The sequence below is a fragment of the Homo sapiens genome, chromosome 6 (genome assembly GCF_000001405.40).
Source record: "Homo sapiens chromosome 6, GRCh38.p14 Primary Assembly".
NCBI lineage: Eukaryota > Metazoa > Chordata > Mammalia > Primates > Hominidae > Homo > Homo sapiens.
The window spans coordinates 1,370,160-1,385,853 of NC_000006.12; the positions used below are offsets into that span (position 1 = coordinate 1,370,160).

General features: G+C 49.9%; 1 long non-coding RNA gene across 6 annotated transcripts in view, besides 5 other annotated features; it reads right to left on the reverse strand.

Annotated features, from left to right (window-relative positions):
- Positions 1-15,694, reverse strand: part of FOXF2-DT (FOXF2 divergent transcript) — a 67,585-nt gene that overhangs the window by 46,685 nt on the left and 5,206 nt on the right. For 4 of the 6 annotated variants that reach the window (NR_189295.1, NR_189294.1, NR_189293.1 and 1 more), the window contains one exon: positions 13,631-15,339. The exons of 1 other annotated variant lie outside the window; for it this stretch is intronic. This is a non-coding gene — a long non-coding RNA (FOXF2 divergent transcript). Of the gene's footprint in view, positions 1-7,725; positions 9,646-10,526; positions 10,759-13,630; positions 15,340-15,694 lie in introns of those variants that run through there. One more of the 6 variants, NR_199825.1, reaches the window with a different exon arrangement.
- Positions 7,902-8,415: an enhancer, noted in NCBI's record as "H3K27ac-H3K4me1 hESC enhancer chr6:1378296-1378809 (GRCh37/hg19 assembly coordinates)". NCBI's record gives its function as "activates a minimal SCP1, AML or CMV promoter by ChIP-STARR-seq in naive H9 embryonic stem cells {active_cell/tissue: H9 hESC(naive)}" and the evidence as "EXISTENCE:reporter gene assay evidence [ECO:0000049][PMID:30033119]".
- Positions 11,679-11,778: a silencer, noted in NCBI's record as "silent region_16819". NCBI's record gives its function as "represses an Ori minimal core promoter by ATAC-STARR-seq in GM12878 lymphoblastoid cells {active_cell/tissue: GM12878}" and the evidence as "EXISTENCE:reporter gene assay evidence [ECO:0000049][PMID:35858748]".
- Positions 11,889-11,938: a silencer, noted in NCBI's record as "silent region_16820". NCBI's record gives its function as "represses an Ori minimal core promoter by ATAC-STARR-seq in GM12878 lymphoblastoid cells {active_cell/tissue: GM12878}" and the evidence as "EXISTENCE:reporter gene assay evidence [ECO:0000049][PMID:35858748]".
- Positions 13,611-14,390: an enhancer, noted in NCBI's record as "H3K4me1 hESC enhancer chr6:1384005-1384784 (GRCh37/hg19 assembly coordinates)". NCBI's record gives its function as "activates a minimal SCP1, AML or CMV promoter by ChIP-STARR-seq in naive H9 embryonic stem cells {active_cell/tissue: H9 hESC(naive)}" and the evidence as "EXISTENCE:reporter gene assay evidence [ECO:0000049][PMID:30033119]".
- Positions 14,391-15,170: an enhancer, noted in NCBI's record as "H3K4me1 hESC enhancer chr6:1384785-1385564 (GRCh37/hg19 assembly coordinates)". NCBI's record gives its function as "activates a minimal SCP1, AML or CMV promoter by ChIP-STARR-seq in primed H9 embryonic stem cells {active_cell/tissue: H9 hESC(primed)}" and the evidence as "EXISTENCE:reporter gene assay evidence [ECO:0000049][PMID:30033119]".

The window sequence follows — 15,694 nt, forward strand, 5'->3', positions numbered from 1 at the left end:
CTGAGGCAGGAGGATCACTTGAGCCCAGGATTTTGAGGATGCAGTGATTTATGATTGTGTGACTGCACTCCAACCCGGCGGGCAGAGTGAGATCCCCATCTTTGATAAAAAATACTACCCTTCTGGGAGAAAATGCAAGTGCTTTTCCCCAGCCATCAGCAGTGTTTTTGAAGGAGCATTGGAAATTATCCCTAGTCCATCAAAAATACTGTCTATTTACTGAACGAATAGCCTACCACTGGATTTTCCCCTTTGTTTGATAAGCTGATTCCTTCATATTCATCATCCATTTCTGCTTCTTTAAGCAAGAAAATAGGAAATAAAGTATTCTTATTTGAGATAATAAATAATATCTGTGTCTATCTTAAACTAGCAGCCAAAATAATACTTAACGATGAAATATTAGGAACATTCTCATCAAATCAAGGGACAATAAAATACCTACTGTCACCAATATCATTTACCACTGTCTGGGCCAATGCAATAATACATGAAAGAAAAATAAGAGGCACAGTTCTTGGCAGAACCTCCCAAAACATATTCTTTGGAACACTACTTTTCTGGAATGTTAAATAGAGTCAAACCGTTTCTTTGCTGTAAGACTTCTCAAGGCCTTAAATATCCCAACATTTGCTACGAGTCTCCAAGAGGGGAAATGTTATCCAGTGTTTCCCAACTTTTTCAACATTGAATTGATTTTTGTCCCAGAGAATATTAAAAGTCTCATGTTCCTTGGAACACTCTTTGGGAAACTCCAGCTACATCTGTTTTTGATCTTCAGATATTTTCATCTATGTATTTAGTCAAATATACCTATCTTCTGTGAACAAAGGTTGTAGTTAAGAACAAGGGCTTTAGAGTCACAAAAACCAGGATTTAAATCTACATCCTCTCCTGACTAAAGGACTGAGAGAAGGTAGTTTCATCTTTTTTAACCTTCAATTTTTTCATTTGTGAGATGGAGATTATGATATCTACCTTATAAAATGTTGTGAATATTAGCTTAGATTATATATAGATGATTGCTTATCCTTGGGCATTCTTAAAAATTTAAACTAAAACAACAATGAGATACTACCTCTGTTATGAAATAATCAAAGCCGGAAAGGATGCAGGGAGTTGGGTCCTCTCATATCAGGGCTAGCGAGGCTGGAAATTGTTACCATTGTTGGAGAAAGAAATTTGACAGTTTAATCAAAAGCCTTAAAATCATTCACATCTGTTGATCCAGTAATTTCATGTCTAAGAAACAAAAAGATGACAAAGATGTTTATCGAAGCTTTTTTATAGTAATGACATATTGGAAAGCACATAAATCAATGACATAACTCACACTCCAGGTACTGGATACTTGCTACTTGTTGATGACCCCACCGAGGTACTTCCTATTGTGTGCAGTCGTAGGAAGGCAGTGCCGGCCCACCCAGAAACCAGGGCGGCAGAGCCTTTCTTCTCCCCAGAACAGCCAAGGGCAGGCATCTACGGCAGATTTGCCCAGTCACTGTCTCTATACCAGCACTTTGAATTCTGAGTAAAGAATTCCTAGTTATAAATTATAAATCCTCTGTCAATTTCCTGTGTGTGCATGTGTGTAATAACACACTTTTGTTAAGTCTCACAGAGGTGTATCTAAGGATTCTTTTCAAAAAATCTTTTGGTTTTGTAAATAATTATCTCAATAATACAGAGGGAGGTTATCCATGTCATTTATTTCTGTCCTTATCTTTATTACATCCTTCCTTCTTGAATGCAGAAGACATTAGCCACGCACCCCTACCACCTCCCCACTGTCTTGGGAATTTTCTACATAAAGAGTTCTGTCTCCCAAAGTGGAACCCAGAAACTCACCTTCCCAACCTCCTGCAATTAGAATTCACACATGCAACCTAGACTCTGCCAATCAGACCCATCCATGTGAGACATCTGCTCGAAAGAAAGCAGCATGAGGAGGCAGGCACCATCCCTGGCATGTGGAATCTCCATGCTGGCCAGGGTGAGCTTAGGGGCCCTGGCACTGACAGCCAGTGTTCATGGTGCTTGGTGGTGGCAATGACTATAGAGGGATATTTCTGCAGCTGTTTTGTGGTCAAGTTTGGTGTTATTCCTGGTGATGCAGACTTGAAAACTGACTCTATGGTCCTCCTAAAGAATCAGAGCATCTTTGTCCTTTAATAAGTAAATTTTCTGCTGAATCTAGCCAGTATGGGCTCTGTTGCTTTTAAGTAGGAACTCAGATTAACACATTGTTTCTTTGGGTTTGTTCTGCTGTCTTTGTTCTACCTTCTGAATTTAATATTAGCTTCTTTGTCATCAATTTTTCTTAATTTCTGATCATTGGTTTCAAAGCTATAAATTTCCCTTGAAGTAAGGCTTTAGCTGCACTTTGACATGATGTGTTTTCTGTGTCAGCAGCTCTTAATTTCCCTTGTGATAAGCTTGTTAACTCAATTGTTATTTCATAATTTGGGGGCTTTTTGATGGAGGAGGAGTGCTCCCAAATGTGTTTTTAGGCTGTTATTTTTATGTCCTTGTAATAAGCATCTAAATTTATTGCACTGTGATGAGTAAAGGTAGTTCATATCATGTTAATTCTTTGGAATTTATTGAGATTCCTTTGTAGCCTAGTACATGGTCAACTTTTTTGAGCATTTCTTATGTGCTCAAAAAAATATGCCTAGTCTGTATTCATTACCACTGGTTTCCAAATTGAGTTCAGCTGACAGGCTACATCAGCCTCATATGAATCACTGTTTAAAAATAGAGTGCCCTAGACCTCACCCAAAACTACTGCATCTCAATCTCTTAGGTAAGGCTCTAGAATCTGTGTATAACCAGCACCACAGGGAATTCTAATGGCAATTTTAGGAGGCAATCTCCTTTACTCCTACCCCACTGGGCCCTCATGTTCAGACAGGATCAGACTTCAGACGTATAATTTCAGACAAATAGGATCCTAACATCTTAAAGAAAGAGATTTCACATCCTCTTATGCTGAGTTTTTCTGACATTCAAGGTCATCTATATTAGATTACTCTTCCTTATCTCCACCCTAAATGCCTCATGCTAATATATCAACCCACCACTGTCTATTTGACATGCATGGATGCATGCTCCTTCCTTCCTAAAGACTCAGATTCCATTTATTAATCCCATGAGACATGTTAGACCCTAAGACCGTGTGATTTAGGGGAGGTTAACCCCATTCCCCCCTTCACAGGAGCATCCTGAGTAGCCCAAGTCAGCTCCACCGCACTTGCCTATGATTGGCATAGGTAATCTATAAGTGTCTTTTCCCTGGAGACTGTTGCTTGTCCAGGGAGAAGCATGGATCTAAACTGGCCCCAAAAAATAAAGACAGGAGAACCTTCATGCCACTGATAAAGGATATAATTTTTTTCTATTTATAACCTTTTGGATATAAACAACAAAATCACATACTTTCACTGACACTATCTTACAACCAGAACATAAATGAGTTCTAGGATGAAATGGATTCTATAACCATCAAAGTAGAAAATTAGAAAGAATTTGAGTCCTTTGTGATACCACTGAGCTGCTAACACAACCCACTCCAAAACTTGCCCAACTCCAAGACTTCCTGCTACGTGAGATGATGACTTAGCGTTCCTGCCTCCATAAGCAAGGATTTCTGTTGCTTGCAGCCTAAAGCATCCTACCTGATACTCTTCATTCTCTTTCACTGTGGGTTAAAAATTCAACAAGCCACTTTGGATTTGGGAGGTATGAATCTTTCACCAACTCAGACAACAACTAAAATCCCTCTTCAGCCTTCTCAAAACCTAATGCTTCTCAACCCTGTAAGCTTTCATCATAAGTGCCCTCCTTTGTCCCTTTAATCAGTCACAGTTCTCTTCTGTATCACGCAAGGTTCCAGGTCCTTCCCCAGGATGCTGAATTCCAGACATGGATGCATTATCTAGCACGGTTTGGATACTGCCAAACTTTATAAGAATTTCCTCCAATCTGTCGCATATGTATACTAATGCTATGGCCAGATTTCAGGGGCTACAGAGTTTAGCAATAATGTGACTGTGTCTGAAACGGAAAAAGTCAACATATCTACAAATGGGTGCCACTTAAATTTGAGTGGCTCATGTCGAAATGGAGACAGTCAGGTGCTGTGGAAAGCATAGCAAGCGACTGTGGCTGTAACAGAATGGTGGGTATTTCAGGGGTGACTGCCTAGGAAAAGAAGAGCCCAAGAGTCAGACATGGTCACTGTGTATCAACACTCTCTCTTTCTGAACAACCAGCATCTAGAGTGGAGAAGGGCAATGGGGGAGGCTCTCTGGTCCTCTGATGTCCTTTGAATGTCCCAATGGCATTTCTTAGGGCCTTTGCATGTCCTGCTCCCTCTGCCTCTGACCTTCCCATAGCTAGCTCCTCTCCATTCTCAAGTCTCAGACCAATGTCTTCCCAGAGAAGGCTTTCCTGATCACCCCCAATGTCCATTTGTCTATCACATCACCCTCATTTACCATGATCATGGACTGACTTTCTTGCTTAGGTACTGCCGTCCCCATACCACTTCTCTCTATCTGAAAGCTTTTGCATATTTGCTTGTTGTCTATCCAATCCCCCAAATTTAAGCTTTGAAAGTGGAGACCTTGACTGTTTTCTCTGAATGTTTCCCCAGCACTTAGACCAGTGCCTGGCCAAGTAGGCGCTTAAAAAATATTTGTGGGACTAAGGAATTGGATGATAAAATGAGAACTCCTGGGCCTAGGTCAGCCCCAGCCTCCAAAAATGTTGTCAGTACCCCGTGTCTGTGTCCTCTGCTCCCTCCTGTACACTGGCCCCAGTGTCTTCCATTGTACATGAGCTTCACCTAGAAACCAGAGGAGTGATGATGTGGCCATGCACAGTTCCAAGTGTGTATCCTTAATGCTCATAATCCCAGAGGGAAAAGAGTGAGCCTCTCTCTCATTGCCTTTACTAACAATCCCAGGGAAACACTCTATGTGACAGAGGGTGACCCTGTGCCTAGACTTGGCCAAGTACTGTGGCCAGAGGACAGGTAGAATAGACATGCATAGGTCACATGACTCTCTACGTCTAGGGTGTCATAGCAGTGTGGCTACACTAGGACAACACTGAATGGGAGAAACAGAGTTCTCTCTAAGGATACGAAGATGCTCTCACCAGTAGAAAGAAGAAATGTCAGGCAAACCAAAGAACCAAACATCTGCAAAATTCTCCAGATGTAGCAAGATATTTACATTCATATCCTATCTTCCAGCATACTGCCCTCTTTCCAAATTCCCCATGATTAATGACAATGTCAAACTGCATTGGCCTTAGGGTTGACTTTCAATCTTCCATGACTCCACTTTTCTCAGTTCCAAAGAGCAAGGGTGACTTCTACCTCTTCCTCTTTAAAAGATTAATAGGAGATTTGCCAAGTTGTTTATGTTTTCTAGAAAAAACAGTGAATAGCAAGTAAACGCTGTGCAGGTTATCACATAAAAAGAAAAATAAATTTAGAATCTTTAAAAATAAATTAAATTCTCAAAGTAATATTTAAAACTTTAAAAACTAGTTAATATTTATGATATTTTGTTACATAAGAAAAATAGGCTAAGGAAAGATGGGGAAAGAATCCTACTTTTGTAATGTGATTATATTTATATAAAGAAAAACAAAAAATAAATCATGGCTTCATGATGACTCTCATGGACCAAGGCACTTATGCCTTCATGGGTCACTTCATCCCCAAAATATTAAAAATCGCATATTTTTGAAGGTGTTACTATAAAGACAAATATATTAATCTTACTTAAAAAAAAAAAGAAGTCATTTAAATGGCAGTCTTGAAGGTAACTTGAATGATGCATATGAACTCCTTGGCATTATTTGAGTAACCTTATTTCCTCTATTTTCATCAATTGAAATTCCACTTTTAACTCAAGGTATAAAAGTGAATTGCGCTATGTCATTGTGCTAGGAGAGTTTTAAAAAATTAGAAAAGTGAATGAAAACTTGAAGAAAAAGTGCAAATAATAAAGGCCAGAAGAAATGTTTTCAAGTGGTGTTATGACACTGCCAGCTCCAATTCTCACTTTGTAGAGACATCCAAAGTCTAGACATCAATCAGTTTTGGCCTCAAAATAATATCCTAGTTAGAAAGGGTTCAGGAATACATTATAATGAATTTGAGACACCCAAAATTGCTTATTATTTTTCCATTGCTATGAAATTACACATTCTGGTGTTAGCAAATAAAAACAAAATGAAACAAACAAAAAGAATAAATTTATTCTCCAGTCATGCTTACCTACTCTATACAGCTATATTCTTTCCCTTTTTATTAAATTCCTATTGCCATAAAATGCTTAACTCAACTGCATATTTTTTGTAACTGATTTACAAATGGAAAGGTTTCCTGTCTTGGATCTCTTCTGAGAGCCCTCCAACTGCAGAAAAGTTTTCCATAGGTAGAAACCACAAAACAAAAGAAGTTTATTAAATTCCTTTTTAGCCGAGCTCAGTAAGGCAGATTCCCTCAGGCCAATGCCAACATACGCCCTTCCACCTACACCAAGCATCTTACCAGAGATGGGTGATGGATGCATAAACCTTCTTTCCAGATGGAAAATTCTCCTAAAGAGAATCTGCCACTCCTTGCCTCTTTCGCTTGTCCCTTTCTCTGCCACCAGCACAGACTGTCATTCTGTCCCCTCACTCAGACAGGCACGGCTACCCACAGGTTCTACAGAGTCCCCTGCCTCCCTCAGCCTCCATCCCCAAATCCTGTCTGCCCAACTGGCCTGCTTAGCTTTCCACACCCATTTTGTTCCAAAACATGGGTTTCTGGAGGTTTTGTTTATATTTTCGGGTCCCCAAACAGCCTTCCCTTTCAAGGGAGAAAAAAAACTTTAGGAGCCCCCCTCCCCTTCTGCTGAATGAAAAGCTGACATATGGTAACCGCTCACAGCTTCTCAGGTGCTTGACATATTTTATAATAGGTCTAGAGACTTGAAGACTAAATAGGTGAATATCTGGCTCATCAAGCAAGTCAGTCTTTTTTATTTTTTTATTTATATTTATTTATTTGTTTATTTTTCGAGACGGAGTCTCTCTCTGTTGCCCAGGCTGGAGTGCAGTGGTGGCATCTCGGATCACCACAACCTCCGCCTCCCGGATTCAAGCGATTCTCCTGCCTCAGCCTCACGAGTAGCTGGGATTACAGGCGCGCGCCACCATGCTGGCTAATTTTTGTGTTTTTAGTAGAGACGGGGTTTCACTGTGTTGCCAGGCTGCTCTCGAACCCCTGACCTCGTGATCCGCCCGCCTCGGCCTCCCAAAGTGCCGGGATTACAGGCGTGAGCCACCGCGCCCGACGGGTCTGTCTTTTTTAAAGCCAAAAACTAGTCACCGCTGCAACACTGTTAGGATGCTGCTGCTGAAGGCCCCACCGGCATTCTCCCTCGCTAACGAAGAACCAACAAGGACCAAACGAAGGGGACATTTGCTTCTCCCAAAAATAGATTACCCATCCAACTGAGAAAATTAAAGGTTGACTCTAGTCTGTGTCCATGTTGATAGGGAAAGTTACTGCGGTACTAAGGTACCGTAGAAGAGACGGCCTAGTTGGACGTAAAAACACTTTGGCCACCAGCCTGGAGGTAAAACCCAAGCTACAAAAGCCAGTAATTAAAAGAAGAGTGAAAATGATCTGAGATAAAAGCTATTTTGTGCGGATCGTTTTAAGAGTTAAGAGTTTATGTGAATGGTTTATTTAAATGGCTATAAAACTGCAAAGGTGTTTATATATGTAAAATATGCATATTGGAGGAAGTCGGCCGGCAGCTTCACCCTCCTGCGGGAAAATGCAAAGTCCATCACCAATAGTCGGTCTACCGCAGAGAAGTCTGCAAATCCCAGGGGCCTGGAACTCTAAAAAGGCCATTCAAGCCTCAGGTGGACTCCACGTTTCTCCATTTCCCTGCCCTTCCGCTTTTCTTTCCTTAACAAGCTTCTTATAACATTTGCGTTTGATGAGGTTCAAGAGGTCACTTCCCCTCCCTCTCCGCCCTCCTCGCTCGGCGGAGCGGCCGCGTCCGGACCCCTTTCTGAAGGCCGTCCAAGCCCGCGGTGCCCGGCGGCGGCTGCGCTGCCTGAGGTTTCGCGCCTCGCGCCCGGCGGCCGCCGCTGCCGGGGCCGGTCTCGCCCACGGTGAGGTCAGCCTGCCCTTCCCTGCCCTGTGCCGCCTCGCGAGTCCTGGAGAGGCCCGCGCCGGCCTCGAAGCAAAAGACGACCGCCGAAACGCGACCGTTTACCGCCTGCTTTTTCCAAGCAAAATTTGGAGACAAGTCCCACCCGGGGAAGAACCTGGCTAAGGGTCGGACATGGAAGAGAAGACGCTAAAACAGAAATTGCCTCCCTGCTTTCCACCTGCAGCTTCTAGACGCCGCCCTCGGTGCCACCCCTCGCGGAAGGCGTTCTCCCACACCGGGGTCGCCACTGCGCCCAGCTGCAGAAAGCACTCCGCACCCCCAGCAATTCGGGGCATGGAGCCGGCGGGGGTGGCGCGGCCGGGGCCTGGAGAAGCAGCGCTGAGTCCGACACCGCCCACCAGGCCCCTCTTGGAGAACTAGACAGGCGACAGCACTCAGGACCCCGGCTGCGGCCGGCGCCGCGGCAGCCACGCGCTCCAGCCCGCGTGCACCTGCTTCGCTCCGCCGCGCTCCCGGCTTAAGCCGGCGGCTCCGGGGTCCTGCCCCGACTTTTCGTACTTTCTCCCTGCTCCGTGCCTAACTCAATTCTTAACCAAATCCTGAAAGCACAGGAGTTTGGTTGGGGCTGGGACAGGCGCAGGGACCCAATTCTCCCCAAGCTCTGCGGGCCACGGCCGAAACCACCCCGGGGAAAGCCGTAGGGGCGCGCCGGCCCACGCGGGACCGAGTTCAGAGGACTCTGCACCGTCAGTTTCAGGGCCGACGTTTATAGAGCGCTTCCCACGTGCCGCACGCGGTTCTAAGAGCTTGGCTTGTATTAATTCGTTTAATCCTCCCAGCAACACTGTTAGGCATTATAATGATCCCAATCGTAGAAGTCAAAAAACCGAGGTGCAGAAACAAAGTAACTTGTTCCAGATCACGTAGGTGGTAAGTGCAGGGTATTCTGGAGCAGGAGGGAGGGTGGAAAGCACAGAAAAAAAAAAATGAACTGGGAAAAGCGTTGACGTGCTTAGTATTTCATACTGCAGGTTCCACTTTCAGAGCCAGGCTGCGAGCCTACAGGGTAGAGTAGGGGTGCCGGGCCCCCTGGTGTCCTGGCGTACTCGGGGGGAAGACAGTCGCCGGCCGCCGGGCTCCTGCCACGCTGTGGCGCGCGTGGAAGGTGAGGGTCCTCCGCTGTCCCGCCGCCTCCCACAGGGCGGCCCAGAGCCTGCATCTTTTGCAAAGGGAACATAGGATGGAGAGAAAGAAAGTCCCGCCTGAAATAAGCAAACGCGGTGGCGGCTTTGCGGTCGGCCACGTCCGCTAGGAACCCGCGAGGCGCCCTTGCGAGCTGCGCAGTCGAGTTTTCTTTCCACTGCACTTTCACGTTCTGCCGGATGGGATTTCGGGGGCAGAAGACTCCTCGAATGCAGACCGGCTGTCTGTGGCTGGACCCCCAGTGCTGCAAAGGAATCTGATATACCTGGAGGAACCAACCTCGAGGTCCAACCAAGGGAAACATCCCCTCTCCTTCTCCCTCTCCCAGAGCTCCCTCTTTGCAGTGGAGCCCTAGAGAACCAACCCACAGCCCGAAAACACCCGGAGACCAGGGACCCCGGTCCTCATAGGCAGGCTCACACTTGTAGACAATGGACCCATATTTTCCTCATTAAAGACAAACCCAAATCCGCCTATGAGAGATTACCCAGGGAATGAGAGATCCCAAGTACCGTGAAACTTAGAGGGTGCCTTAAAACTAAAGTGTTTTTATTGGATTGAACCAAAAATAACTATAAATGTGTGTATGTCAGAATGTTAATACCTTTTTATAACCGTTATTTCACCTTTATAATAACTGTGGGAGGGGGCATCATTTTTTCTTACTTTTGTTTTCCTGATCCCCATTTTACCATAAAACAGAAACAAGCCCAGAAACATTATTAAGTGACTTAAGGTAATCAGGAGCAGGTGCACTTCTCAGACTGTAAACGAGGGCAATGTGACCACCGCATCGCCACTCATCTGTGCAGGGTGGCGTTGGGGGTGAGGGAAATGCTAAGAGCACAACATGGATTGTTGGGGGGCAAAAACAACAAATAAATCAATAAACAACTATTTGTGAAATATGTGTACGGAGTCCTCGGGGCAGGGGGCTGGATATAAAGCCAAACTTATCTCCCATGCTCCGTGGTCCACTCCCCATGACTCCTTCACCTCTCCAGCCTAGTCTGAAATTCTCCCTCAGGCACTTTCAGATGATATGAAAAATTCTTCCACAGCTAGCCACTGTCAGGAAAAAAATGATTTGGAAACTGTTGTACGGTGCACATGGACAATGCATACCTGCAGATATTTTCAAAGGACACGTGCTCTTGTGATACATTATGTTGTCGGGCATATATGGAAGGCATCCTGGGATTAACTCTGGTGACTGAAGGAAACAGCACTCCTTTTCACCGTTTACAGCCACTGCGTGTACCCGGCCTGCAGTGAGAGTGGGGGAGGGAACATTTGCCAGCCTTTCTGGAGATCCAGCAGCCAGAAGAAAGCCAAGAAACTCAGAGCTGTAAGTCACCTGGGGAAATGGAGAGTTCTGTTTGTAAAATACACATCCACAACAATGTCTCAGCCCTATTTTGAAATTCCTCATGGGAAGGTGTGCGTGCATATGCCAAAATGTAATCTTAGGTATGAGAGCTAGAACCGGAGATGTGGAGAGGAGTTACAAAGTGCGCTTTTAAAACATGATGTCTAGATTTCCTCTAAAATATTTCAGCAAGAAATGAAAACAGAAAGATGAATGAAGCAAGTGTGGCAAAACCTTGGTAACTGTTACATGTAGGTGATGGGCGTATGAGAGCGTATACTCGCTCCACGTTGGTATACTATGAAACTTTTTTCGTAATAACAAATATAAAAAGATCCTGCAGCCCCGGCTGAGACGCCCCGATCCACCTGGTGCCTCCCCTTTGTATCAAGCCGGCCCCACAACGACCCCTCAAGCTCCTTCCTGTCTTGCAGACTTCTACCAGGACGAGTTTAGACAGCTGCAAGGGTGTTCTTAAGAAGCTAAAAGAAATGAAAAATCACAATTTTTAAAAATCGCTGTCTTTCTGTCCCTGTAGCCACCGAAAGACGAGGTACTTCCTCAGGGACAGAATGCTGACGCCGCGCAGAGTCGGCCGAATCCAGCTTCTCCAAGGGCGGGCGGGTGGGATGATTTGTTGATTTGCTTGTTTTCCACCAAACCGCAGGGCACCTCCAGGAGCTCCGGGACAACTTACAAATGAAGACACAGAGCCCCCGTCCCTTGCTTCAGAGAACCAAATAACGGAACTGAATGATCGTTTCTTCAGCAAAGCCTAAAGACGCTTGCGTCCCGCGGAGAGGTGCCCACGCGCGACTCGGCTGCCCCCTCTTCTTGCGGGTCCGGGTAGGGTAGGGCGGGAACGCGGGACGTGCCCTAAGCGGGCCAGCCGAGCGCGAGACAGGCGATGCTGCAGAAGCCTGCCCGCCTGCGGGTCACACACCGGCCGGCCTCGGCTGCAGGGGTTGCGGGGCCACGGGTCGCGGGGCGCCGGGAGCCGCGAGCAGGTGACGGCCGCGCCGGGCAGCCCCGCGGGCCGCGATTCCCGAGAGCCTGGCGCCACCCCGCGGAAGCCGGAGGAACTGCGGCTTCTTCCCGCTCCCGCGCGGAGGGGAGAGGGAGGCGCAGCGCGGAGGGGAGAGGGAGGCGCAGCGCGGAGGGGAGAGGGAGGCGCAGCGCGGAGGGGAGAGGGAGGCGCAGCCCGCACCGCGCAATCCCGGGGCTCTGGCGGGAGGGAAGGTGACTTGCGTGGGACGACTCCAAGAGGCCAGGCCCGGCCTTCGCAGTTCACCCACGAGGATACCGCGACCAAGCCACCAAAGCACTCTCTGGCCAGGCCGAGACCCCTTTTCCCCCGGGCCCCAAGAGAAAAAAGCACTTTCTCCTAAAACACGAACTCCCCGCGGAGGGGCCCGGGGCTGCCTGGCACGGGGCAGGGTGTGCGGCTGCCGTGCGGGCGCGGGCCAGAGTCACGTGGAGGCAGGCGGAGAGGGCGAGGGGGCCCCCGTAAATCATCCTGAGGGATTTTTGGCCCAAGTCCCTGTTTCCGAAAGGTTGCGGGACGGCTTTGACGTTGATTATGTAGCTGTTCTCTTTTCAAGTGCGCGCCCCTCCCCACCGCAGCCCGTCTGGTGTGCGAGGATTGTGTTTGAAAGGGAGGAAGCATCCTTGAAGTGGTGGGTGATGGATTGTCTAAACCCTTCTGGGACGTTCTGGGTGGGGGTTTTCGAGGCAGCTCATCAATAAAGACCCCCCTGGAGAGAAGGGGCGGCTGGAGACCAGCCCCCGCCGCGCAGCCCCGAGGCCCCAGGCCTGGAACACAGTCCTCGGTGTGGGGCACAGGGCGTGAGGGGAGGATGAGCTCCCCCTGAGCAGATGGAGATTTCTCCTTGCCTGGGCCGTTTGACCCCCAAAGCCTTGCAGACTGGCCGCGTGGGTGCCATGGGGCGATTTCTTGGGAAAGGAGGGCAGCAGAAAGGCCCGTGGGCTCTCAGCGCCTTGGAGTCAGGGGAGCAGGAAGGGGAGTGGAGGTGCGGACACGCCTCCAGCCACCGTGCTCCCCTAGGAGGATCTCCCTTCAGCCCCTGTAGAACCCTGCATCTCAACCACCCTCGTGCATGTGGTTTACCTTGGCATAGATTTCCAAGCCGCTACAGAAAACCTGTCCACCTCCCCCAAGGTGGAGGCGGGAGTTGGGAGGCAGGGGTGCTGGAAAGGGTCACCTGGCTCAAGCCGACCCCAGGTCTGACGGGCGGAGAGCCTCGAGGGCCACGCCCCAGGCCAGTGGTGTCCTCTGAGGCCGCAAAGCCGACTGGCTTCTGGAGGAGCAGCAGCCTCGGCCTCAGCCTCGGCTGGGAAAAGACGCAGTCGGGGCCCTCCGTGCTCCAAACTTGAACTACTCTGGGTCCCCACGAGGAGGAGGCTGCCCTGGGGTCAGAAACTCCGACGGAAATGAAGGGGAGGGGGCGTAGGTTCCCTGGCACAGCTCGGCCTGGAGAGGCAGCCTGGGGGCCCAAACTCATCTAGGGCGCGCCCGGAGCTTCCCCGGCCTCTCTTGGCCCATCGCGAACGAGCTCCCCTCCCCGACTGGGTCGGCCTCGGGCGCCTTTCGCCTTCGCAGGCCGCCGGGGTTCCGCGGAGGGCTTGTGTCCCTCCCTCCCGCCGCCGCAGCCCGCCCGAAGGTCAGGCCGCATCCGGGGCCCGGGGCCTTTGGCCAGGCTGCGGGGAGGGGTGGGGTTGGGGGGCTCCCCAAAGCAGCTTCTCGGAGGCGGCGTCGGGGCGCCCTGAGGTCCCTAGTCGGCCTCTGGGCGCCGAGCACGTTTTATTTATCCCCACAGAGGATGCTGGAGGACAAAAGAAATATTTGGACGTCAGAGCTGATTTATATTTTTGGAAGAGCTACGTTTCCTTTTCTGAAGAGAAGCGAGCGCGCCCCATATCCTGAGCTCGGCGGGGAGGACGAGAGGGGAGTTTTGATGCGCCAGGAAGTTCATCTATCGCCCAGGCGCTCAGGACCCGGCGCCCCGCCGAGTTCGCCGCCCTCGGAAATATTTATTTATTTGGGGGAAGGGAGGGCAGCGGGGAGGAGACCAGCCAGACGGGAGAAGAAAGCCCTGCCCGGGCTGGGTTGGGACCTCCAGGGCGCTTCCCCGCGCGGCCGCAGCCGGCCAGCCTCTGGTCTCGGTTGGAGGGCATCGCAGGCGCGGCCTGGCGACCTCCGGGCGCCTTTGGCTGGTGTCTTCCGTAGCCCTCGGCGCGCACCCTCCCGCGTGCAGTGCCCGGAGTGACCTCTTCAGGCCCCGCGGGCGCCTCCTGGGTGGGCCCCGCGGCCCCTCCAACCCTGCCCAGCGTGTGTGCGCGGCCTAGCCATCTTTCTCCCCAGCCTGGGAAGGCGGGCGGGAGGAGGGGATCCGAGGCCGGGGGCCGCGGAGCAAAAGGCACGCGGACCCCTAAACGACCCCCGAGCGTTGCCACAGCCGGGAGGGCGGAGGGAAGGTGTGCAGAGCTCGGGGGTCTCCCAGGACGCAGCTTGGCTCCTACCGGTTTCCAAGGCATCTGCAAGCTCTGTCCTGCGACCTAAAGCATGGGGACGTCCCTTCCAGCAGCATCAGTGGGCGAAAAGTTAACATGCTGAGGGCCACCGGCACCCACACTTGCTTCCAGGAATACTTGCGGTACAGGCTTCCTGACTTATTTTCTTTAGCCGCTGGGTGCCCCCCCTTCTTCCCCCGTTGGGAGACGCAGACCGACTCTGTTCCAACCTAAGCCCCTTCTCTCTGCCTTTTGGACAAAGCGGGCCGCCTCTGCTCTCCACTCACTCCCCGCAACCCCGCAACTCGCCACCCCTAAACGCAGCGGGCTGTAGGCGAAGTCGAAGAGGTGCTCCGCCTGGTACCGCGGCCTGCGCACTGGGATCGGGGCCTGCAGGCCGCTGGGCTGGCTCCTGGGATCATCCCAAGGTTTTGGTCTCGCAACCGAGGGGACCCGCGCCCGGCAATTTGGGAAGTGCGGAAATGGGGTGAGGCCGGTCTTCGCTTGAGGGTCTCGTAGATTGGACCCCTTTTTCCCCCTTCAAGCACCCTCAGACCTGGCCAGTGGGTCATCGAGTCGTGCCCACCGCCCAGGCCAGGAGATCTGGGGCTACTGGGAGATCTCTCATGAAGGTGGCTATAAAAAGAGCCCTGACCGGGACACAAGCCTTTGGAGAGCGGAAGACTCTATCCAAATAAACACTGGGAACTGGGTGGCTGGTGTTCAGGCCCGGAGGTCTGGGGGTTTCTGGACCTAGGAAGGAGAGCAGACTCCAGGAGAGGTGTGAAATTCCCACTCCCGGCCACCTTGCTCTCTCCAACCCCCGCCTCCGCGCGTCCTCCTATTGCTGTTCCCGTCCGCATCTTCTGCTGTTATGTGAAGTTTCTAAAGAGGCCTCTGCAGCGTGCAGGCTGGTGCTCTTCCAGCATTTCCTCAATCACGCTGACACCCCCAGGCCCCAGCACTGAGTTCTCGCCGTCCACATTTAGAAAGGCCTCGCAGGAGTTCGAGAATCCTCTACACGACTTAACTTTGCGCCTAAATACAGAGCGAAAACAGGGGTCAGTCTCATTTTGAATTGGGAAGAGGCTTCCCTCCTCCCGGGCCCAGGCGGAAGGCAGGGAGGGGTGCGTCTTAGATGGCCGCAAACAGTGCGGTGCGGATGCGTCTCTCCTGTCGGTGACTGGTTTAGTCTAAGCCATTTCATGTGAAACCCACGAAGCAGAGGAAGCATGCTAAGAACACAGAATTTAAACCGCAATAATGAGGAGATTTCCTAGAATAAAACGCCGATTACAGAACAAAATCGGAGAAACCCAAGCTTGTTGAAGTTTACATTCCCTTGCGCTGGGGCAGGGGTGGGACCTAAAGGGTTGGAGGGGAAAGGAACCCG